Source organism: Homo sapiens, chromosome 19 (assembly GCF_000001405.40).
Source record: "Homo sapiens chromosome 19, GRCh38.p14 Primary Assembly".
NCBI lineage: Eukaryota > Metazoa > Chordata > Mammalia > Primates > Hominidae > Homo > Homo sapiens.
Window position 1 is genome coordinate 6,917,246 of NC_000019.10, and position 25,549 is coordinate 6,942,794.

The 25,549-nt window shown below is 46.2% G+C and overlaps 1 protein-coding gene and 1 long non-coding RNA gene across 7 annotated transcripts in view, besides 1 other annotated feature; one reads left to right on the forward strand and one right to left on the reverse strand.

Annotated features, from left to right (window-relative positions):
• The window catches only part of LOC105372256 (uncharacterized), a 36,712-nt gene extending 15,254 nt beyond the window's left edge, over positions 1-21,458 (reverse strand). Inside the window, exon 1 of the long non-coding RNA XR_936288.4 lies at positions 21,396-21,458. This is a non-coding gene — a long non-coding RNA (uncharacterized LOC105372256). The remainder of the gene's footprint in view (positions 1-21,395) is intronic.
• ADGRE1 (adhesion G protein-coupled receptor E1) overlaps positions 1-23,205 on the forward strand; it is a 52,872-nt gene extending 29,667 nt beyond the window's left edge. For 4 of the 6 annotated variants that reach the window (XM_011527794.2, NM_001974.5, NM_001256255.2 and 1 more), the window contains 9 exons: positions 2,303-2,502; positions 4,468-4,638; positions 7,433-7,627; positions 9,121-9,356; positions 10,900-10,966; positions 17,742-17,833; positions 19,998-20,166; positions 20,299-20,403; positions 22,779-23,205. In XM_011527794.2, the coding sequence (XP_011526096.1) occupies positions 2,303-2,502; positions 4,468-4,638; positions 7,433-7,627; positions 9,121-9,356; positions 10,900-10,966; positions 17,742-17,833; positions 19,998-20,166; positions 20,299-20,403; positions 22,779-22,784 (1,241 nt within the window). In that variant the 3' untranslated portion in view covers positions 22,785-23,205. Of the gene's footprint in view, positions 1-2,302; positions 2,503-4,467; positions 4,639-7,432; positions 7,628-9,120; positions 9,357-10,899; positions 11,066-17,741; positions 17,834-19,997; positions 20,167-20,298; positions 20,404-22,778 lie in introns of all 6 variants that reach the window. The other 2 variants (NM_001256252.2, NM_001256253.2) reach the window with 2 other exon arrangements.
• Positions 9,040-9,279: an enhancer, noted in NCBI's record as "active region_13869". NCBI's record gives its function as "activates an Ori minimal core promoter by ATAC-STARR-seq in GM12878 lymphoblastoid cells {active_cell/tissue: GM12878}" and the evidence as "EXISTENCE:reporter gene assay evidence [ECO:0000049][PMID:35858748]".
• Positions 23,206-25,549: the final 2,344 nt, after the last annotated feature.

Sequence of the window (25,549 nt, forward strand, 5' to 3'; positions counted from 1 at the left end):
AATACTTTAATGTAAAAGCACAGTGTGCAATATGGAAGAGCTATTTAAGCGAAGTCCTGAGGAATAGGTAGAGAAAGCAGGAGAGAGTGTGTTACAGGAAGTATAAGCTATGGCTCTGTGTTGAAAAAAAGCTTGGTATGGTCATGGAACTAAAAGTAGAGTGGGCTGGAGCATCAGGAATGTGGGGGAGAGAGGGAAAAGAATTGAGGGTCGCTGGGCGTGGTGGCTCACACCTGTAATCCCAACACTTTGGGAGGTGGAGGTGGGTGGATCACCTGAGGTTGGGAGTTCGAGACCAGCCTGACCAATATGGTGAAATCTCATCTCTACTAAAAATATAAAGAATGAGCCTGGTGTGGTGGCGGGTGCCTGTAATCCCAGCTACTCAGGAGGCTGAGGTAGGAGAATTGCTTGAACCTGGGAGGTGGAGGCTGCAGTGAGCTGAGATCGCGCCACTGCACTCCAGCCTGGGTGACAGAATGAGACTCCATCTCAAAAAAAAAAAAAAAAAGAATTGAGGGTGTTGCATCCCAGTTTATTACATTTGGACTTTCTCTGTTGGGCACAGAAAGCCTTGGAAAGTTCTGTATACAGCAGGATGATCTGATTATGTCTTCCAGATAGATGTCTTTTTAGAAATAAATCCTCTGGCTGTGATATGGGCAATCCATTGGAGAGGTGAGGCTAGGGGAAGGCAAGGACATTTGTGAGGAAGCCAGTGGTCTGGGAGAGAGATGTGAGGCTTGGTCTAAGGCTAATTAGAAGGGAGAAGTGGGGAGAAGACAGGTTCAAGGCACATTAAGGAGGAGGAATCTGTTTTGCGGGGAGAAGAATTCAAGGATGACTCTCCAGGTTCCAGATCAGGTAATATCAGTTATTGAAGTAGGAGATGCAGATAAAAGAAGATGAGAGAGCCAGGCATGGTGGCTCACGCCTGTAATCCCAGCACTTTGGGAGGCCAAGGCGGGCAGATCACCTGAGGTCCAGAGTTCAAGACCAGCCTGGCCAACATGGTGAAACCCCGTCTCCACTAAAAATACAAAAAATTAGCTGGGTGTGGTCTCGGGTGCCTGTAATCCCAGCTACTCGGGAGGCTGAGGCAGGAGAATCGCTTGAACCCGGAAGGCAGACGTTGCAGTGAGCCGAGAACCTGCCATTGCACTCCAGCATGGGCAACAGAGCAAGACTCTGTCTCAAAAAAAAAAGAAGATGGGAGAGGAATTGCTCAATTTATGATGTCTGGGGGGACATCCAAGGGGCAGATGAAGCCTGGGGGTTGGTACTGTCTGGTTGGGACAGGAAGCGGCATAGGACGTATCCCTGGAGACCGTCCATATTTAAAGGGGACACTCCCCAAAGAGACTGAAACAGAATAACCATAGATGTGGGAGAACTTATTTCCCACTGAGTTGCATTGTCCCTTAAAAACACAAGTTCAAATTTATTTTTAAATGTAGCCAAGACTTCTCCAGGTAAGAGCACTGGGAGGTCTGTTTTGTTTTGTTTTCTTTTTTTGTCACCCAGGCTGGAGTGCAGTGGCGGGATCTTGGCTCATTGCAACCTCCGCCTCCCAGGTTCAAGCGATTGTCGTACCTCGGCCTCCCGAGTAGCTGGGACTACAGGCACCTGCCACCACGCCTGGCTAGTTTTTTTATTGTTAGTATAGACAGGATTTCACCATATTGGCCAGGTTGGCCTGGAACTCCTGACCTCAAGTGATCCACTTGCCTTGGCCTCCCAAAGTGCTGGGATTACAGGCGTGAGCCACTCTGCCCAGCTGTGGAAGTTTTTATTTTGTTTTGTTTTGAAATGGAGTCTTGCTCTGTCACTAGGCTGGAGTGCAGTGGTGCGATCTCGGCTCACTGCAATCTCCGCCTCCCGGGTTCAAGCGATTCCCCTGCCTCAGACTCCCAAGTAGCTGGAGCTACAGGTGCGCATCACCACGCCCGGCTAATTTTTTGTATTTTAGTAGAAACGGGGTTTCACCATGTTGGTCAGGATGGTCTCGATCTCCTGACCTCGTGATCCACCCGCCTTGGTCTCCCAAAGTGCTGGATTATAGGCGTGAGCCACCATGCCCGGCCAGAGGTTTTTTTTTTTTAATGGTTCTAGAAGCCCGCTGGTTATTTTAATCTCAGAGCAGCACGGTGAGGTGCATGACTCTCTCTCTCTCTCTCTCTCTCCCCCTCCCTCCCTCTGTGTGTGTGTGTGTGTGTGTGTGTGTGTGTGTGTGTGTTGGGTCTTCTATAATAACAATTGAGCAAACGATTCCTTCCTTTTTTTCATTTGGGGAAACCTGCAGAGACCACTGGTGTGGCTTTTGTCTCCTTTGTGGGCATGGAATCGGTTTTAAATGAGCGCTTCTTCAAAGACCACCAGGCTCCCTTGACCACCTCTGAGATCAAGCTGAAGATGAATTCTCGAGTCGTTGGGGGCATAATGACTGGAGAGAAGAAAGACGGCTTCTCAGATCCAATCATCTACACTCTGGAGAACATTCAGGTTTGTGAAGAGGTCTCTACTGAGATTCTTGTCTACCTGTTGGGAACTCCTCGTCTCTCGATTGCCTTAACTCTCATTTTTTACGGGAAGCTATTGAGGCCGGTAAGCTTCCACAATTTCCAGCAATTCAAGCCAATTAACAGAAGCTACCGCTAGAGGAATGAGGTCTCCCACTGTCACCAAACAGAACTAGGTCCATTTGCCCATGTGCAACAGAAAGCCAAACACCGAAGCACCGGGTTTTTGTAGAGAGAGAAGTTTATTGCAAGGCTGCCAAGCAAGGAGACAAGAGTCTGGCTCAAATCTGTCTTCCCAAGCTGGGAGGCTGGGGCAGGTTTTATAGTCGGTGGGTAATGAACTGCAATCTGATTGCATCTTACAATGAAGTGATGCAGGGAGGTGTGATCTGATTGGATCCGGCCATGGGGTGTTGCCAGGTCTTGATCTGATTGGATCCTGGATCCTGCTATGTGGTGGTTGCTTCTTTTTTTTTTTTTAGTCTCACTCTGTCACCCAGGCTGGAGTGCAGTGGCACAATTTCAAGTCATTGCAAGCTCCACCTCCCAGGTTCACGCCAGTCTCCTGCCTCAGCCTCCCGAGTAGCTGGGATTACAGGCGCCCGCCACCATGACCGGCTAATTTTTTGTATTTTTAGTGCAGACGGGGTTTCACCATGTTAGCCAGGATGGTCTTGATCTCCTGACCTCGTGATCCGCCCGCTTTGGCCTCCCAAAGTGCTGGGATTACAGGCATGAACCACCATGCCCGCTTTTTTTTTTTTTTTTTTTTTTTTGAGATGGAGTTTCACTCTTGTTGCCCAGGCTGGAGTTCAATGGTGCAACCTTGGCTCACTGCAACCCTCACCTCCTCGGGTAAAGCCATTCTCCCGAGTAGCTGGGATTACGGGTGCCCACCACATGCCCAGCTAACTTTTTTGTATTTAGTAGAGACGGAGTTTCACCGTGTTGCTCAGGTTGGTCTGGAACTCCTGAGCTTAGGTGATCCACCCGCCTCAGCCTCCTGAAGTGCTGGGATTACAGGCATGAGCCACCGTGCCCACCCTTCTAGGATACATTCTTAAAGCATGTTGTTCTTAAACTGTTACTAAAAATATTTCTCTGCTTACTTGGTTTTTATGATTTTTTCTCCCACTGCACTATGATCTCTTTTTGGGGGAAGAACTGTTTTCTCATGTCTCCTGTAAACAGCACAGATCAAGGCATGTAATAGGTGTTCAATAAAAACACGTTGAATGAGGCTGGGTGTGGTGGCTCTTGCCTGTAATCCCAGCACTTTGGGAGGTCTATGCAGGAGGATCACTTGAGGTCAGGAGTTCGAGACCAGCCTGGCCAATATGGAGAAACCCCATCTTTACTAAAAATACAAAAATTAGCTGGATATGGTGACACACACCTGTAATCCCAGAACTTTGGGAGGCCCGAGGCAGGTGAATCACTTGACATCAGGAGTTCAATACTGGTCTGGCCAACATGGTAAAACCCCGTCTCTACTAAAAGTACAAAAATTAGCTAGGCATGGTGGCGGGCACCTGTAATCCCAGCTACTTGGGAGGCTGAGGCAGAAGAATCGCTTGAACCCCGGAGGCAGAGGTTGCAGCGAGCCGAGACTGCACCACTGCACTCCAGCCTGGGCAACAGAGTGAGACTCTGTCACACACACACACACAAACCACACATTCAATGAATAAGTGAATAATGAGTGACTATGCAGAAGGCTTTATTATGGATTTGATGAAAGGAGGAGTTTTCTTCTAGCAACAGCAATGTGAGCTGCCCTATCAGATTGGCCCTCACTGCATAATGAAATACCAGCATTTTTCCCCATTCCCTCAGAACATACCCTGTGTATTCTTGTTCCCAGTGACTCTTGAGGATGGTCACATTTAATCCATTTGATGGGGATTCCCAGAAGACCTTTGTTTTTTTGTTTTTTTGTTTTTTTTAGCCAAAGCAGAAGTTTGAGAGGCCCATCTGTGTTTCCTGGAGCACTGATGTGAAGGGTGGAAGATGGACATCCTTTGGCTGTGTGATCCTGGAAGCTTCTGAGACATATACCATCTGCAGCTGTAATCAGATGGCAAATCTTGCCGTTATCATGGCGTCTGGGGAGCTCACGGTCAGTACTGATGATTTGTTCCCTGAGGCAGAGTATCTGCCTCCAAATCCAATGGGAAAATATTGATTAAACATCTGTTGTGTGTCTCCCATGGGGTTGGGTGTTGTGGGATGGAGTCACGGGGACAGAAGGGGTAGGTGATATGCCTTTGCCCCTGCAGAATTTACAGTCTGGTTGGGAGGCCATGAAACTCAAATATACAATGAGAAATAATGACCCTAAGTAGGGCCAGGCACTGGAGCAATCACAGATCTTACTTAATGAGCACATACAGTGTGCTGGGCTCTTTAAGTTAAGTGGTTTTAGACCCATTTCACAGAATGGGTAAAGTGGCCCGTCTAGTCCTGAAGCTAGAAATTGGAGCAGGTGGAATTCAAATCTGGGGAAGTCTCTTTCCACTAACACATGCAAATGGGTCAAGAAGAAATGCTGTAAGAATTCAGAGGTGTTGGCCGGGTGTGGTGGCTCATGCCTGTCATCCGAGCACTTTGGGAGGCTGAGGCGGGCGGATCATGAGGTCAAGAGATCGAGACCATCCTGGCCAACATGGTGAAACCCCCGTCTCTACTAAGAATATAAAAATTAGCTGGGCATGGTGGTGCATGCCTGTTGTCCCAGCTACTTGGGAGGCTGAGGCAGGAGAATCGCTTGAACCTGGGAGGCAGAGGTTGCACTGAGCTGAGATGGCACCACTGCATTCCAGCCTGGCAACAGAGTGAGACTCTGTCTCACACACACACACACACACACACACACACACACACACACACACACAAACAAAAAGAATTCTGAGGTGTTTCCAAGAGAGCCGATGATAGATCATGAGGAAACAATATGAAATAAGCCTTGGTAAATGAGTAGATTTGGAAGAGAGGAAGGACATCCTCATTAGTGTTGTAGAAAGTATCCTTTCACCTGGCTCGGTGGCTCACGCCTGTAATGCCAGCACTTCGGGAGGCCGAGGTGGGCAGATCACAAGGTCAGGAGATCGAGACCATCCTGGCTAACACGGTGAAACCCCATCTCTACTAAAAATACAAAAAATTAGCCGGGCGTGGTGGCGGGCACCTGCAGTCCAAGCTACTCGGGAGGCTGAGGCGGGAGAATGGCGTGAACCCGGGAGGCAGGGCTTGCAGTGAGCTGAGATCATGCCACTGTACTCCAGCCTGGGTGACAGAACCAGACTCCGTCTCAAAAAGAAAGAAAGTATCCTTTCCTATCATGGTAGATCCAAGGTTTAATTCCCTACCAGAGAGGCCATAAGTAAGTGCCATTTCGAGGACCCTGTGGCTTAGGATTTAAGAGAACTGGATCCAGAACAAAACTGACTTAGTTTCAAGTCTTGTCTCTACCACTTTCTAGCTGTGTTTTCTTGGAAAAGTCACTTAACTTCTCTGCACTGAGCCCAGCTCTCTCATCTCAAAAATGAGAACAACAATAACAAAAAAATACTGATAACTAGTATTTATATAGTATGCTTCTGGCACAGTTGTACTTGAAATGTTTTCATTTAATCCTAAAACAACTCTATAAGGCAATTGCCATTAATATTCTCTTTTCAACAGATGAGGAAACTGAGGGCACAGAGCAGTTAAGTGTCTTGTCCAAAATCACACAACTAGAAATTGGCCAGTTTTTTTCTTTCTTTTTCTTTTTCTTTTTTCTAGACTGAGTTTCACTCTTGTTGCCCAGGCTGGAGTGCAGAGGTGTGATCTCAGCTCACTGCAACCTCTGCCTCCCAGGTTCAACCAATTCTCCTGCCTCAGCCTCCCATGTAGCTGGGATTACAGGTGCCCGCCACCATGCCTGGCTAATATTTTTTGTTTGTTTGTTTAGTAGAGATAGGATTTCGCCATGTTGGCCAGGCTGGTTTCAAGCTTCTGAGCTCAGGTGATCCACCCGCCCCAGCCTCCCATAAGTGCTGGGATTACAGGCATGAGCCACTGCGCCCAGCCAATGGTCAGTTTTCTTAACCACTTTGTGACAATATCATAGAGAGGTGCTCATAAGATGGTGCCTGGCTTATCTTTAACCCACAGAAACCACTCAGAGACATTTAAAATTAATTTTAAAATTAATTATGAATAAATGGCATAGAAGAAGGACTTAGCTTGTCACGTTCCACTCCTGAAGTTGAAGCATTCCTGAATGTCTGCATTATCAGTTGGGATTCAGTACAGGAAGCAAAAACCACCCCAGGTATTTCAAGCAGAAAGGCATTTAACACAGGGAATTGGGTGCTCACAAAAATCTCTGGGAGGGGATGGAGGAGTTGAAGTCAGGGGGCTGTCACTTCAATTTTGGCTTCAAGGTCATCCCCCAATGCAGCTGTAACTCAGAGGTCAGAAATTGCTGCTGTCATTTTGCCACCCCACTCCACCATGAAATTGGGGACTGGACAGTTGAAATGTGGAATTAGGCTCACTCCTGTCTGCCGAAAGCTGATATTTGCCTCCCTTCTGCATTCCAAAACCTTCACAGATGTATCTCACTGGAGAACTTAAATTACATCCAGGACCTTAGTTCCAAAGGATTCTGGGAGATGTAGTTTGTGGACATCAAGCCCCAGTAATACATGGAGTAACGCATAGGACAGGACTGGGAATAGGTGCTGGTGGATGCCAGTGGATTGCAAAGGATAATGAAGGACAGTATCTAGTTCACTCTGAGTGTTAGAGGGAGAAAATTCCCCCAAGCTAATTTTGCCCGAGCCAGGGTTTTAGATAACTCTTCTTCCCGCCTGGGGGGATTTTGATCCCATTCTCAGGCCAACTCTGAAATTCCTTCCTGACAGATGGACTTTTCCTTGTACATCATTAGCCATGTAGGCATTATCATCTCCTTGGTGTGCCTCGTCTTGGCCATCGCCACCTTTCTGCTGTGTCGCTCCATCCGAAATCACAACACCTACCTCCACCTGCACCTCTGCGTGTGTCTCCTCTTGGCGAAGACTCTCTTCCTCGCCGGTATACACAAGACTGACAACAAGGTCTACATCGCTCGGGCTGTGTCCCCACCAAGCCCCATCTTCTCCCCACCTGCCTCAGCTCATTCCTAGCCAACTCCCTCTATCCCTGTTCCTACCTCAGGGCCTTTGCATATGCTGTGCCCTCTGCCTGTAACACTCACTTCCCAGCTTCTTACCTGCTTGACTCCTTGTGACAGCTCTCAGTTTAAACTTATGTCCCTGATCGTGTTATGAATTATAGTGGTTCCTCCTATTACTTGTTTTTGTTTGTTTGTTTGTTTGTTTTTGATACTGAGTTTCGCTCTTGTTGCCCAGGCTGGAGTGCAATGGCACGATCTTGGCTCACTGCAACCCCTGCCTCTTGGTTCAAGCAATTCTCCTGCCTCAGCCTCCTGAGAAGCTGGGAATACAGGCATGAGACACTATGCCCGGCTAATTTTTTTGTATTTTTAGTAGAGACGGGGTTTCACCATTTTGGCCAGGCTAGTCCTGAACTCCTGACCTCAGGTGATCCACCCGCCTTGGTCTCCCAAAGTGCTGGGATTATAGGCTTCAGCCATCACGCACGGCCCCTCCTGTTACTTTCTAAACCAGAGGTTCTCTCCCTGGGTGCTTTTTGTCCCCAGGGGAGACTTGGCAATGTCTGGGGACATTTTTCCTTGTCACAACTGGAGCAGCGTGCTACTGCTCTCTGGTGGGTAAAGGTTAGGGATACTGCTAAGTATCTTGTCGTGCCCAAGGCAGCCCTCCACGGCAGAGAATGACTCTGCAATAATGTTACAGATGTCGATAATGCTACAGTTTAGAATCTCTACTTCCCTTTATTTTTCTTTTCTTTTTTTAAATTTTTAATTTTTTTAGTTTTTTTGAGACAGGGTCTTGCTATGTCACCCAGGCTAGAGTGCAGTGGCCGAATCACAGCTCCTTATAGCCTACCAGGCTCAAGCGATCCTCCCACGTTTGCCTCCCAAGTACCTGGGACCACAGGCCTGTGCCACCATGTCTGGCTAATTTTTGTATTTTTGTATAGAGAGGGGGGTTTCATCATGTTGCCCAGTCTGGTCTCAAACTCCTGGGCTTGAGCGATCTGCCTGCCTCAGCCTTCCAAAGTGCTGGGATTACAAGCATGAGCCACCACACCCAGCCAGTAAAACTTTATTTACAAGGCAGGCAGCCAGCCTATGGGGTCTAGTTTGCTGAACCCGCCTGTTTTCAACCATTCCCTAAAGTAGGGTGATCGACAATCAGTTTTCCTAAAACTCTTCCTGTTTTAGAACTGAAAGTCATGCGTCTTGGGAAATCTTAGGTCCAGACAAACCAGGACCATGGGTCTCCTTACCAAGAAGTGCTCCTCCCTGTGGTCAAGAACCACTGCACCTCTCTATAAATGTTTGTGAGATGAATGAGTGAGCTAGGTTTGGGGAATTTCCAGCCGAGGAGTCTCTCTCTTCCTTTCTTCCTTTCGATTTCTCTCTGGGGTGGAGGATTCTGATGCGCATGCTTCTCCCCTCCAGATGGGCTGCGCCATCATCGCGGGCTTCCTGCACTACCTTTTCCTTGCCTGCTTCTTCTGGATGCTGGTGGAGGCTGTGATACTGTTCTTGATGGTCAGAAACCTGAAGGTGGTGAATTACTTCAGCTCTCGCAACATCAAGATGCTGCACATCTGTGCCTTTGGTTATGGGCTGCCGATGCTGGTGGTGGTGATCTCTGCCAGTGTGCAGCCACAGGGCTATGGAATGCATAATCGGTGAGTGACATCCTCTCTCTTCCTGAAGACCCTGCTGCCAGGGCTTATGGTGATAATGACATGAGCAACAAGAAGAGTAACAACAGTAGCAGTAGTTGTGGCTACCATTTATCGAGCTCTTCTATTATGTACTATTGGTTTCAGGACCACCATGTACAGCAGCATGGGTTGTGCACTGCACAAATCCAGGATCACTACTATTTGAGGTTTATGTTCCAGGAAGAGAACATCTGGTTTACCTAACTTGATTATTTTCCTTTTCTTGCGTGTATGACATGGGGGGTGGTGGGGGTGAAAGTGGGAAAGGAATACTTCTGCATGGTGGTGTGCACCTGTAATCCCAGCTACTCGGGAGGCCGAAGCAGAAGAATCACCTGAACCCGGGAGGCGGAGGCTGCAGTGAGATGAGATGGCATCATTGCACTCCAGCCTGGGGGACAAGAGCGAGACTTCATCTCAGAAAAAAGTGGGGGGAATATTGGGGTGCTGTTATTGAACATGACGGAATGGTTGTTGTGTTGTAAAAGCAGCTAATGTACACTAGAGACATAATAAAAGGAGCCAATCCTTTCTTCCTCCCTCCCACTCTCCCTCCCTCCCTCCTCCCTTCTTCCTCCCTCCCCTCTTCCCTCCCTCCTTCCTTCCTCCCTCCCTCCCTCCCTTCCTTCCTTGCCTTCCTTCCCTTCCCTCCCTCCCTCTCTTCCTCCCTTCCTCCCTCCCTTCTTTCCTTCTTTCCTTCCTTTCTTCGAATAAACAATTTTATGAAATATCTTGTCTATGCTAGGCTGTGCTCTGAGTGCTGAGTATTCAGAGATGAACAAACACCTAAGGCCCAAATTCTCATGAAACTCATAGTCTAGTAGTGGAAGACAGTTTGCAGTTACACAAGCAATTAAACAAGGTAACTTACGATAGTGATAGCTGCTGTTTTAAAAATGCAGTGAGCTCTGCTAGATGGATACCAGGAGCAGAGACAGGTTGCCCTATCTAAGGATAGTCAGGAGTGGCTTCTCAGAGGAGGTGACATTTGAGCTGAGATTTATTTATTTATTTATTTATTTGTTATTTATTTATCTTGAGACAGAGTTTTGCTCTTGTCACCCAGGCTGGAGTGCGGTGGCGTGATCTCAGCTCACTGCAACCTCCACCTCCTGGGTTCAAGCGATTCTCCTATCTCAGCCTCCCAAGTAGCTGGGATTACAGGCGTGAGACCCCACGCCCGGCCTGAGCTGAGATTTGAATGATAAGGTGTACCAGTGGAGAGTTCTGCATAGAGGGAAACAGGATTACAAAGTTGTGAATTGGGAAATGAGCTCAACCTTGGGCACTAGGTAAACATTTCAGGTACATTTGCCCAGGAAGAAGGTCTAAAAGAGGAAGCGCAGTGATCTAAAGGAAACTGAACTGCAACCGGGACCATCCTGAGCATCATCTGAGTCTCACCTCCCAGTGTTCTCCTCCACTAGGGCATTTGTTGGGACAGGGTTAACTGTAAGGTCAGGACTCTGAGACAAGCGCTGACTCCTCCTATTTCTCTCCACAGCTGCTGGCTGAATACAGAGACAGGGTTCATCTGGAGTTTCTTGGGGCCAGTTTGCACAGTTATAGTGGTAAGCAAATACTACAACAGCCTGGCGAAGTGTGTTCTGAAGGAGGAGCAAGGAGACCTGCGAGATCTGGAATTTCCAGGGACGTGTGCAGCTGAGAGGGTCACTTATTCCCATCAAAAGTTCTCCTTTCCAGGCCGGGCGTGGTGGCTCACGCCTGTAATCCCAGCACTTTGGGAGGCTGAGGCGGGTGGATCACCTGAGGTCAGGAGTTCGAGAACAGTCTGGCCAACTTGGCGAAACCCCATCTCTGCTAAAAATACAAAAAATTAGCTGGGTGTGGTGGCGAGCACTTGTAATCCCAGCTACTTAGGAGGCTGAGGCAGGAGAATCGCTTGAATCCAGGAGACATGGAGGTTGCAGTGAGCCAAATTCATGCCACTGTACTCCAGCCTGGGCAACAGAGTGAAACTCCGTCTCAAAAAAAAAAAAATAAATAAATAAGTTATCGGCCAGGTTGCGGTGGCTCATGCCTGTTATCCCAGCACTTTGAGAGGCCCAGGATCACTTGAGGTCAGGAGTTCAAGACCAGCCTGACCAACATGGAGAAACCCCATCTCTACTAAAAATACAAAATTAGCTGGGTGTGTTGGCACATGCCTGTAATCCCAGCTACTCAGGAGGCTGAGGCAGGAGAGGAGAATTGCTTGAACCAGGGAGGCAGAGGTTGCGGTGAGCCGAGATTGCGCCATTGCACTCCAGCCTAGGCAACAAGAGCAAAACTCCATCTCAAAAAAAAAAAAAAAAAGTTCTCCCTTCCAATCCTTCATTCTTGAGATTTCGAAGTTACAGAGTAATTTCTTTGACTTGGGAATTTTGTTTTTCCTTCTGAAAGGCAAATACCCCTGGGAGGGACCATAATTGTATCCGTCTTGTGCACAGGTCCATGAGTCTCTCTGAAGCAGTGTCATTGTCTGGGGGTAATAATGCCTGAGGTTCGTTGCCTCATGCTAAGGAAATCAAGGACACAGACACACACAAGGAGTGAGTTTAAGAGCAGAGGTTTAATAGGCAAAAGAAAGAGAAAGGAGACTAGCTCTCTGTGTCTTGCAAGAGAGAGGGCCTCCTGAGTGGGACTTCTGGCCCGCAGCAAAGTGCAACAGATTTTAGACTGGCTTGAGGGGGCGGTGTCTGATTTACATAGGGCCCAAAGATTGGTTGGACCCAGTGTGACATTTACGTAGAGCGCGAGGAAGCTGGCCACCCACCCTGATCTTTTATTATGCAAATGGGGTCTTTACTTGGCTGGCACCATGTTGTCTTCTCCTTACTGTCTACATGGTTTACAAAGAAAAGGGAAGACGGAGCTGCCATTTTTTTTTTCTTTTTTTTTAGACGGAGTCTCACTCTGTCACCCACGCTGGAGTGCAGTGGTGCAATCTCGGCTCACTGCAACCTCTGCCTCCTGGGTTCAAGCAATTATTCTGCCTCAGCCTCCCGAATAGCTGGGATTACAGGCACGCACCACCACACCCGGCAATTTTGTATTTTTAATAGAGATGGGTTTTCACCACGTTGGCCAAGCTGGTCTCAAACTCCTGACCTCACGTAGTTTGCCTGCCTCGGCCTCCCCAAGTGCTGGGATTACAGGCATATGCCACTATGACCAGCTAATTTTTGTACTTTTAGTAGAGATGGGGTTTCACCACGTTGACCAGGCTCCTAACCTCAGTTAATCCACCTGCCTCAGCCTCCCAAAGTGCTGGGATTTCAAGCGTGAGTCTCTGCGCCCAGCCAGAGCTGCCATTTTGAACATGCCTATTCCCCAGGTAACCGCTTTCCTATTGGCACAACTGCCAGCATTCACCCATGCAAGCTTCTAGCTTGCCTTTCTATGTCTATAGCTCGATTCTACCGGCTGCTCTCCATTAGAAAAGAAAATGATTTGGGAGCTGCTTTTCATTAAAAGGAAAACCTTACCGAGGACTTCCTTACCCTCACTATCTGCCTAAATAAATCTTTTTTAAATCCTATGTCATCTCCTAGGCACAGATGTTGAATGAAAGAAAAAGTAAAAAGAAATTAGGAGGAATTGTGGGGGAAGGAGTGAGATGACAGAGGGAAATGGTGGATCGAGGCAAAGGGAGGCCAGGGAATGTTAAACACCCATCTCTTTGCCTCCCAACCTCCATCCAGACTTGACAGCCCTGCCAGATGATGATTCTTCTGACTCTCACTCATGGTGGCTCATTCCCTTATGTCTTTTGTCATATTTTTCGAGGATTAAATTTTTTTTTATTTTTAATTTTTGTGGGCACAAAGTAAGTGTATATATTTATGGGGTATATGAAATATTTTCATACAGGCACAGAATACATAATAATCACATCAGAGTCAACGAGGTATCTGTCCCCTCAAGCATTTGTCCTTTGTGTTACACACAATCCAATTATGTTCTTCTGGTTTTTGTTTTGTTTTATTGTTTGGTTTATTTTTATTTTTATTTTGAGACAGAGTCTTGCTCTGTCACCCAGGCTGCAGTGCAATGGCATGATCTCAGCTCATTGCAGTCTCTGCCTCCTGGGTTCAAGCGATTCTCCTGCCTCAGCCTCCCGAGTAGCTGGGATTACAGGTGTGCGCCACCACGCCCAGCTAATTTTTTGTATTTTTAGTAGAGACGGGATTTCGCCATGTTTTCCAGGCTGGTCTCGAATTCATGACCTCAGGTGACCCACCCGCCTCGACCTCCCAAAGTGCTGGGATTACAGGCATGAGCCACTGTGTCCAGCCTCTCCTGGTTATTTTTAAATCTACAATGCAATTATTATTAACTATAGTCACCCTGTTTTGCTAACAAATACTAGATCTTATTCATTCTTTCTATTTTTTTGTACCCATTAACCATCCCCTCTTCCCTGTTCCCCACCCACCCCTTCACTATCCTTCCCAGCTTCTGGTAACTGCTGTTCTACTCTCTAGCTCCATGAGTTCACCTGTTTTAAATGTTTAGCTCCCACAAAGAACTGAGAACATGTGAAATGTGTCTTTCTGTGCCTAGTTTCATTTGTAATGTTTACTTGACTGATCTAAGTCTTGGGAATGCTTGAAATTATATTCCTCCACAGAGGTTTTGTGCTGATGTCTATCAGATTTTTTTTAATGGGGGGCATGTATTAATTTTCAGGGGTCACCGTAATAAGCTACTGCATGCTGGGTGGCTTAGAACAACAGAGACTTGTTGTTTCACAGTTCTGGAGGCTTGAAGCCTGAAATCAAGGTATTGGCAGGGCCACGCTCCCCATGACAACACGAGGGAGGGTCTGTTCCAGACCCCTCTCCAACAAATTTTCCCATTTGTAAGATCACCGGCCAGGTGCAGTGGCTCATGCCTGTAATCCCAGCATTTTGGGAGGCCGAGGCGGGTGGATCACCTGAAGTCAGGAGTTCGAGACCAGCCTGGCCAACATGGCAAAACCCTGTCTCTACTGAAAAATACAAAAAATGAGCCAGGCGTGGTGGCAGGCACCAATAGTCCCAGCCTCGGGAGGCTGAGGCACAAGAATAACTTGACCCCTGGAGGGAGAGGTTGCAGTGAGCCGAGATAACATCACTGCACTCCAGCCTGGGTGACAGAGGGAGACTGTCTCAAAAAAAAGAAAAAAAAAAAGGAACACTAGTCATATTTCAGTCAGATTAGGGTCTGCCCTAATGAGTTCATCTTAACTTGATTATTTCTGTAAAGATTCTATTTCCAAATAAGGTCTTGGGGCGCCTGGCCCCAACAGACAGCCTCTTAAGCTCGTTAAGAAAATAAAAACAAATCTTCAGAGGCCATAAATTAGACAGCAGTAATGAACCAGAATGCTGTAGCTGCCCTAAGGGTATTTCCTAAAATCAAGAATCTAAAACCTTGGAGATTGAATGGTCATTTGTGGAGTTGGATGGGCAAGCCCTAGGGTCTGAAGAAGGTGTAGAGTCCACCAAATAAAATAAAGACCCCATTCTTATTGAAAGGGTGGACTAGAAAATAAAATTCTGGGCCGGGCGTGGTGGTTTATGCCTGTAATCCCAGCACTTTGGGAGGCTGAGGCAGGCGGATCACGAGGTCAGGAGATCGAGACCATCCTGGCTAACATGGTGAAACCCCGTCTCCACTAAAAATACAAAAAATCAGCCAGGCGTGGTGGTGCACGCCTGTAGTCCCAGCTACTCAGGAGGCTGAGGCAGGAGAATGGCGTGAACCTGGGCGGTGGAGCTTGCAGTGAGCCGAGATGGCGCCACTGCCCTCCAGCCTGGGTGACAGAGCAAGACTTGGTCTCAAAAAATAAAATAAAAATAAATAAATAAATAAATTTAAAAGGCTATCTGTTGGGGTTCCTCCAGCATTTTTGGTGTTTTGTAGCGAGAGGGATTTTCAGAGTGAGATTCCTAAAACTCAAAGTTGATCCTGATGCTCTTCTGTGTGAAACTGTTCTATAGCTTCTCCATTGCACTCAGGGTGATGTCCACTCCCTGAGCCTGACACCTCAGATCCTTCACTGCCTGGCCCTACCCAACTTCCCTAGGGTCCCTTTCTGGCTTTTTCCTGCCTGCTCGGCCCTCTGGCTGTACCAGCCAACTTTCTACTTCCTTGAAATGCCAAGTTCTCCCCTCTAGACCTCTCTCATGGAGGTGGTGGTGATGATGAACAAACCATATGTGTGAGATGCTTAGTACAATGCCAGGCATTGCCAAGAGTGCAGTAAATATTAGGTATGAACAATCATGGAAATAATAATTATGATGATGTTGGCCAGACATGGTGGCTCATGCCTGTAATCCCAGCACTTTGGGAGGCCAAGGCAGGCAGATCACTTCGGGTCAGGAGTCTGAGACCAGCCCGGCCAACATGGTGAAACCCCATCTCTACTGAAAATACAAAATTTAGCCAGGTGTGGTGGCCCGCGCCTGTAATCCCAGCTACTCAGGAGGCTGAGGCAGGAGAATCGCTTGAACCTGGGAGACAGAGGTTACTGTGAGCCGAGGTTGCGCCATTGCACTCCAGCCTGGGAGACAAGAGCGAGACTCCGTCTCAATAATAATAGTAATGCAATGTTTATCTTACCCATTCCCAAATCTTCAAGGACATTGGGCTTTCTTGGAAGTTCTACTCATCTGGAAAAAATAATTCCCCTGGGGCCGTGATTCTCCACTGGTGCAGTTTTCCCTCTAAGGGGAAGTTGGCAAAGTGTGAAGACTTTTTTTTTTTTTTTTTTTGAGACAGAGTTTCGCTCTTGTTGCCCAGGCTGGAGTACAATGGCATGATCTCTGCTCATTGAAAGCTCTGCCTCCCAGGTTCAAGCGATTCTCCTGCCTCAGCCTCTGCGGTAGCTGGGATTACAGGCATGCAGCACCACGGCCAGCTAATTTTGTATTTTTAGTGGAGATGGGGTTTCTCCATGTTGGTCAGGCTGGTCTCGAACTCCTGACCTCAGGTGATCCACCCACCTTGGCCTCCCAATGTGCTGGGATTACAGGCATGAGCCACCGCTCCCGACCAGAAGACATTTTTGGTTGTTACAACTAGAGAGGTGGGTTCTACTGCCATTTAGTGCATAGAAGCCAGGGATGCTGGTTAACATCCTACCGTGCACAAGGCAGCCCCCTTCTCCCCGCTGCCCCCACACACCAAGAATGCTCTGACCCAAATGTCAGTATTGCCGTGGGTGAACAGGCCCTGCGCCAGGTGTATGTATATCTTGCTCAGGAATGCTTTTGAGGGAGGGCTTTAGAAGATAAACTCAAGATAATAAACTCCACTCAAGTTCGCAGTCTATGTCCTAACGTACTGGATGCACTTTGGGAAAATACACAGAGACCGCCCCATTGAGAACAAGCAAAGGCTGTTTATTCCGAGATTTCTGTAGTCCAGTAGTACGAGAGTCAGCTACCATCATCACTCGCGTTGGCTCAGACTCAAAGGCAGGCAGAGAAGTGGGGAAGGTTTATAGAGGAAAAAAAGAGAAGGCTACAGGTAAGTCCTGCTTGGAGGCTGTTGCACGGATGGGCAAGCTGTAGGTGGCTAACTAGGAGCGGGGTATCCTGTGTGATTGGTTAGGGGTACCTATTGGCTTCTACCTGTTGGTCCTAAGTTGGAAGTAGGGACAAAAATTAAGGAAGCTGTCAATTACTAACTAAGTCCTGCTGTCTTGGTTCAATTGCTGCATGGATCATTCTTTGGCTTTCTGGATTGGTTGCTATAAATCGTGGGTCAGAATTCTTCTTCTTCTTCTTTTTTTTTTTTTTTTTTTTGAGACACAGTCTTGCTCTGTTGCCAGGCTGGAGTGCAGTGGCACAATCTCAGCTCACTGCAACCTCTGCCTCCCAGGTTCAAGTGATTCTCATGCCTCAGCCTCCCAAGTAGCTGGGATTACAGGTGTGCACCACCACACCTGCCTAATTTAATTTTTGTATTTTTTTTTTTTTTTTGAGATGGAGTCTCACTCTGTTGCCAGGCTGGAGTGCAGTAGCACAATCTCAGCTGTCTGCAACCTCTGCCTCCCAGGTTCAGGTGATTCCCCTGCCTCAGCCTCCTGAGTAGCTGTGATTACAGGCATCCACCACCATGCATGGCTAATTTTTTTTTTTTTTTTGTATTTTAGTATAGACAGGTTTCACCATGTTTGCCAGGCTGGTCTCGAATTCCTGACCTCAAGAGATCCGCCCGCCTCAGCCTCCCAAAGTGCTGGGATTACAGACGTGAGCCACCACGCCCAGCCCAGAGTTCTCTTTTTATAGGTGTTCTGGCCCTTGTCTATTTGTATATCCAGTCTCTCCATCCTTCTGCTTGACTTTGCAGATCAACTCCCTTCTCCTGACCTGGACCTTGTGGATCCTGAGGCAGAGGCTTTCCAGTGTTAATGCCGAAGTCTCAACGCTAAAAGACACCAGGTAAAGCCCTCTTTCACCTCCCCCCCTCTTTTAATTTCCTCTTTCTTCTTCCCAGAAAAGTTCTTTGAGCACTTCTTGTGTGCTGGGTCCTATGCCTGAGACAGAGGTGATGAGGTCTGTTTAGCATATCACACCATCTAGATCTGGAGGCTTAAAGTCCAGCTCAACTATTTACGAGCTGTGTGACCTTAGGCAAGTTACGTAACCTCTCAGAAGCCCATTTGCCTCACCTACAGAATGGGGATATTAACATTGCTTATTTTAGGTGCCTTACAAAGCATTTAGCACGGTTACTAGGAACAGTGAGTGTTTCATATACTACAACTCTTAATAAATTTTCTAATTTTTCTCTGTGTATACTTATATGTGCACATTTACAAGAAACTGAATCATACTATTTTGTTTTTTATGGTTTTTTTTCTCTCGAGAATGTCCTGATGATTTCTGACTTCATTAGATATTATTCTACAATATGGTGTAAATTTGTAGCACATTGTATTTAAGTCATACCATATTCATGGACACTTAATTTGCTTCTATGTGTTTTTGGTTTTGGTTTGTTCTCTGTATAAACAATACTGCCTTGAGCACCCTTGTAGGTAAATCCTTCCACACCATGGTTATTTAATTACAACACTAAACATGAAACTACCCAAATCCAACTGCCTGAAGAGTAGGTTGGACTGTAATGCTTTTAGAATGTGCGTCGTAAATTGATTTTCAGAAAATTTGTTTCCGACGGTGAGAATACCTATTTACTTGCAACATTGTCAACACTGGAGTTTATTGTTTTTGATGTATTTTCTGCTGATTTAATGCGTGAAATATTCTATCTCATTACTTTTGTTATACATATTTTATATTAGGGATTTGGGACTTCTTAAATATTTTTACAGGTCAATTGTGTTTCCTAACTTCCCCACTCAACTACTGTTCATTTTAAGAAACTTCAGCAACCATCATCTAGGTTTTATTGTCAGTAACCTAATAACATTCTTTGCTTCTTTTTTCTTCGGTATCCAATCCCTTATCCATTTTAAATATGTTTGAAAAGTTAGTACAAAAGTCAAAAAGGAGGCCTGGTGTGGTGGCTCATGCCTGTATTCCCAGCAGTTTGGGAGGCTGAGGCAGGTGGATCACGAGGTCAGGAGATCGAGATCATCCTGGCTAACATGGTGAAACCCTGTCTTTACTAAAAATACAAAAAATTAGCCGGGCATGGTGGTGGGCACCTGTAGTCCCAGCTACTTGGGAGGCTGAGGCAGGAGAATAGCTTGAACCCAGGAGGCGGAGCTTGCAGTGAGCCAAGATCACGCCACTGCACTCCAGCCTGGGTGACAGAGTGACACTCCATCTCCAAAAAAAAAAAAAGACAAAAAGGTAAAACAAAGTTGATACATACACATACTCATAGCAGAAAATGTAAGCAATAAGTTTCACATCAGATGAAATTCACCATTTTAACCATTTTAAAGCGTGTAACTCGGTGGCTTTTCGTACATTCACAGTGTTGGGCAGTGACCGCCACTATCTAGTGGCAAATCCTTGTTTTTTTTTTTTTTTTGAGACAGAGTCTCTCTCTCGCCCAGGCTAGAGGGCATTGGCACGGTCTCGACTCACTGCAACCTCCGCCTCCCAGGTTCAAGCGATTCTCCTGCCTCAGCCTCCTGGGTAGCTGGGATTACAGGCATCTGCCACCGTGCCCGGCTAATTTTTCTATTTTTAGTAGAGACGGGTTTTCACCATGTTAACCAGGCTGGGCTCGAACTCCTGTCCTCAGGTGATCCACCAGCCTTGGCCTCCCAAAGTGCTGGGATTACAAGCACCCACCACCACACCCAGCTAATTTTTGTATTTTTAGTAGAGATGGGTTTTCACCATGTTGGCCAGGCTGGTCTCGAACTTCTGTCCTCAGGTGACCTGCCCACCTCGGCCTCCCAAAGTGCTGGGATTACAGGCTTGAGCCACCGCACCCAGCCTGATTGCATTTAAATGTCTATAGGATTTGATTTTGCAACACCTAGGCTTGGAGACCCCACCCTACATTTGTCCACACCTAGGTGGCAAATTGGAGAGTGGCCACCTCAGACCATTCCTGGAAGTGTGGCCTGCAAGGACAATAGCCACCTCCCAGAGCCTTACATGCTGTACATCTTCTCCCCAGGTTACTGACCTTCAAGGCCTTTGCCCAGCTCTTCATCCTGGGCTGCTCCTGGGTGCTGGGCATTTTTCAGATTGGACCTGTGGCAGGTGTCATGGCTTACCTGTTCACCATCATCAACAGCCTGCAGGGGGCCTTCATCTTCCTCATCCACTGTCTGCTCAACGGCCAGGTGTGTAGCTGCTGCCCTCCCCATCCCCCTCCTCCCATCCCCCTCTCCCCCCTTCCCCACCGCATCCCTCCACCCAACATCCCTGTCACTGGACCATTTCCCTGCATCTGGATGATGTGTCTCCTTCTCCAGGTACGAGAAGAATACAAGAGGTGGATCACTGGGAAGACGAAGCCCAGCTCCCAGTCCCAGACCTCAAGGATCTTGCTGTCCTCCATGCCATCCGCTTCCAAGACGGTGAGAGACTGCATGCTCCCTGCAGGTGCTGGTCGAGGGAGGTGCCGGCCTCTTGGTGACACTCAGCTCTGCCACGTGTTGGGTACTGAATGGGAGCTGAGGGTGCCCACCCTAGTTAGCTCATGGATGAAGTGTGGAGTTGAAGACTGGGGATTTATATGTATATATTAGCAGACACACACACATTATCTATCTCTCTATTTAAATAAAATTTCAAGAATAAGACATATATAATTTATAACAGATTTACATAGATACATTTGTATATGAATTATGTAACATATTAAAAATAATACATATTTATATGTTATGTTTATAAAATACATTTATATGCACTTATTATATACATATAATGTATAATATTATATACATATAAATGTAAGATGTAAGTTTAAATATAGATACCGGCTGGGCGCGGTGGCTCACACCTGTAATCCCAACACTTTGGGAGGCTAAGGTGGGCAGATTACCTGAGGCCAGGAGTTCGAGACCAACCTGGCCAACATGGCAAAACCCCCATCTCTATTAAAAATACAAAATTAGCCGGGCATGGTGGCAGGTGTCTGTAATCCCAGCTACTCATGAGGCTGAGGCAGGAGAATTGCTTGAACCCAAGAGGCGGAGGTTGCAGTGAGCAGAGATTGTGCCATTGCACTCCAGCCTGGGCAAAAAGAGCGAAACTCCATCTCAAAAAAAAATTAAATAAATATAGATATCTTCACATGTATATTTATATAGAGAAAATTTTTATGTATTATGGATAACATTTATATATGTAGATTTTCAGGAATATTGAAATATTGGAATGAATATGCAAATGGAGGCAAAGCTGGTTTTCCCACTAGAATGTCTTATTTTTTTCAACAATGTATTCCACGCCCCTAAAATGCTGTCTAGCACACAGTAAGTTCTTAGTGAATATTTTCTGAGTAAATAATAATTCAATAGCTTAGTTTCCTCACTGATAAAATGGGGATAATGGTAATCCTTACCTTGGAAGGTTATACTAGATATTAGATGAACCAGTATGCAATGGGGTTGGAAGAGTGCCTCGGACATAGCAGGATCTCAGTGTTAAGCCTTGCAGAAGTCCAGTGAGGTAGGTATCACTGCTCTATTTTCTTTTTTCTTTCTTTCTTTCTTTCTTTTTTTCTTTTTTTTTTTTGAGATGGAGTCTCGCTCTGTAACCCAGGCTGGAGTGCAGTGGTGTGATCTTGGCTCATTGCAACCTCTGCCTCCTGGGTTCAAGCGATTTTCCTGCCTCAGCCTCCCAAGTAGCTGGGATTACAGGCGCCCGCCAGCACACCCAGATAAATTTTGTATTTTTAGTAGAGACAGGGTTTCATGATGTTGGCCAGGTTGGTCTCGAACTCCTGACCTCAGGTGATCCACCTGCCTCAGCCTCCCAAAGTTCTGGGATTACAGGTGTGAGCCACCACGCCCAGCTGGTCTATTTTCATTATGAGGAAACCGAATGTCATAGAGGTTAAGTCCAGTGATTTCAGAATGAGCCACAGGAATCACCCCACTGGAAAAATTGCCCATATCATGGATGACATATTCTCTTGGCAATACATTTTTAAACATAATGCAGTTTACTATAGTTTTAATGAAAAAGACAGTATAGGTATAGAACATTTTAGAAAACATTTGTAAGCATTGAAAACAAATAAAATTTCCCATTATCCCACCACATACAGATCCCAGTGAGTCATATTTTTGGATGCAAGCACCTTAGATCCAGTGGCTTAATTAAATAGGGAAATGATTTTCCTTGCAAGAAGTCCAGAATTAGGTGTTGCGAATATTGCTGGTGTTGCTGGTTCTATGCTTAGTGGTGTTGTAAAGGCTCTAAACTAAGAATCTGGGTTTTCCCCAGTTTTCCATTCCACCATCAACATGTTGACATTTTATTGTATTTTCATGGTTGCAATATGGTTGCCACAGCTCCAGACATCATGACTATGTTCAAGTCAAGAAGAAGAGGGATGGACAGGACCAGAAAGCCCTTCTTTCATGTCTTTGTCTTTAACAGTAAATGAAAGCCCAGAAAACTCTCAGATTTCCCTTTACCTAATTGGTCAGAAGTGTATCATGTGACCACTCATATGGGCAAAAAATTTTGAACCAACAGCTGTTTGGCTTCCTAAAGTCCAGAGTGGGCGCTGTCAATGCTGAGGAGGTTGAGAATGGCTTTTGGGTTTTCCAACTCTGCCTGCCACACTAGGGACAATCGCATTTAACATTTTAGTGTTTATCCTTCTAGTCTTTGTTACTGTATTTTTAATACTTCTGTCCCTGTAGACATGACCCTTGGAATCACGTTTGTATTAATTCTGCTGCAGACTCTGAGGAAATTCTTTTCTCTCTCACAGGGTTAAAGTCCTTTCTTGCTTTCAAATATGCTATGGAGCCACAGTTGAGGACAGTAGTTTCCTGCAGGAGCCTACCCTGAAATCTCTTCTCAGCTTAACATGGAAATGAGGATCCCACCAGCCCCAGAACCCTCTGGGGAAGAATGTTGGGGGCGGTCTTCCTGTGGTTGTATGCACTGATGAGAAATCAGGCGTTTCTGCTCCAAACGACCATTTTATCTTCGTGCTCTGCAACTTCTTCAATTCCAGAGTTTCTGAGAACAGACCCAAATTCAATGGCATGACCAAGAACACCTGGCTACCATTTTGTTTTCTCCTGCCCTTGTTGGTGCATGGTTCTAAGCATGCCCCTCCAGAGCCTATCATACGCCTGATACAGAGAACCTCTCAATAAATGATTTGTCGCCTGTCTGACTGATTTACCCTAGGATAAAGACTCTTTGTGATTTTAAAGAAATGGTCAGTAAAACTGTAATGAGAGTCCCAGGGAACCAAGACGGCACATAGACAGATAAGCTACTTTGGCACAAACACTTAAAAATAGTTGTGTTGGTAAGTAGGGGGATGTTTGATGTAGCAGAATTCTAGCACTCCCTGGAGGGTTGAAGCACTTGGTGACAACAACCTTTGGAAAGTGCTTTGGTTTCCTGAGGTCCTTCAGGTAACCAAGACCTCCCTGTTTTCTAGAAACTTTCTAATGACTTGGCTAGGATTTAGGATTTTCTCTATCACAGTTATCGCTACCTATCCTTAATTTTTTTTTTTTTTTTGACAGAGTCTCGGTCTGTTGCCCAGGCCAGAGTGCAGTGGCATGATCTCGGCTCATTGCAACCTCTGCCTCCCGGGTGCAAGTGATTCTCCTGCCTCAGCCTCCCAAGTAGCTGGACTGCAGGCGTGCACCACCACGCCTGGCTAATTTTTGTATTTTTAGTAGAGACGGAGTTTCAGCATGTTGGCCAGGCTGATCTTGCACTCCTGACCTCAGATGATCCACCCGCCTCACCCTCCCAAAGTGCTGGGATTACAGGCATGAGCCACTGCGCCCGGCCACCATCCTTAAATTCTTGAGCTTGGGAGAGAAGAAGATGAAGGTTTAAATGCAGGTATTTTCACTTCTATGGGCACTGTAAAACCTCCCAATCCAAAGCGTGGTCCCTGGATCATCAGCATCACCTGAGAGCTTGTTAGAAAAGCAAAGAAGAATCTCAGACCCCACTCCAGACCTCCTAGATCAGGACTTGCATGTTAACATCCCCAGGGGATGAATATAACCATGGGTGTCTGAAAAGCACTATTGTAGAACATTCTTCTGTTTGCCATGCTGACAGCAGAGCTTGTCTTTAAAGCCAGAGAGAAATGTCTTCTTCTTGACTTGGACCCTTTGCATCTTCTCTTAGAATAACTTCCCTGAAAACTCAATTGATGTCTTCTGTCTCTTTGAGTTGCAGTGTAGTCATCCCCTCTGCTAGGAAGCATTCTTTGAATCTCCTACAGTAGAATTTGGCATTATTTTTGTGTGTGCCAAAAAGCTTCATGCTTTCTCACCCTGTATTATGATTTCTCTTTTTGTTGGGTGTCTCCAACATAGACTGTGAGCTTCGTAAGTACAGAGATTTGCATTAAGTAGCGTCTCAACAAATATGTTGAATGAATGAATGAATGAATGATTAGAATGATTACTCTTCATTTTGAAGACAGGGGAACTGAAGCTCAGAGAGGTTAAGTGACTATCCCAGGATCACACAGCCACATAGGTCGTTGAGCTGGGTTTTGAGCTCTTGACCATAAAGCTCCTTCTCCAGATGCCTTGTTCCCCTTTTTCTCTTCCTTTCGTGCCAGGAATACTTAGTTTAGGGTTACAGAGACTAGAATAATATTTACTCTGAGTCACCTAAGCAGTTAGGATTCAATTAGCTCAGTCATATCATGCACTGGACAATTTGTTAACAATATTAAACTCAGTTGATGGAGGCTCTGTCTTTGTTATTCTTGGCAGCCTAACTTGGGAGGTGGGACACATGTTTGTGAACAAGAGTTCATCTATGATAAATTAGTCTTCAACGCTTGGCTTATCCAGAGTGCTCAATACAGAGGTGATAGTTCTTAGAGAGATGGAAGCAAGAGATGGCACTGCTCCTATCCATAGCCAATTGTCATAGGTCAATGGCATCAATGGGCCCAATAATGGTCTCCATTTAGCCACATCCCTTTCCTGTAACTTTGTAACTCTCTCCTTGTCTGACTCTGGGGTTGGACTTGAGATTTGCTGCAGCCAGTGGAAGGTTAGGAAATGTGACTGGAACGTAAGTTTCAAAATCGTATGTGTAATCCTTCTTACCAGTTACACGATTACATTTGCTCACCTTGCTTCCTTACCCCCACCATGTGAACATGCCCAAGCCCGCCTGCTGGAGGGACATGAGAAACACAGAATGAAGGGTAAGTCACCGCAGTTACACTGGTGGAGGTTGTCCTCAGCCAGCCACCATGCCAACTTGCTGCTTTAATCACAGGAGAGAGCCCAGCCAACATCAGCAGACCTGCTCAGCCAACCCATAAACAGACTGAGGAGCAGCAAGAAAGTATCATTTTTCAGACACTGAGTTTCAGGAGTTATTTGTTATGAAGCATTTATTTGTAGCAATTGCTGATGGATACAACAACCAAAGTATGGTCAACATTCTGCATTGGACTGCAACAATTTGGAATGTAAAAAGAAAGAATTTTGATCTCAATTTCTTCTGAGATATCAGGATAATAAATTCTGTACT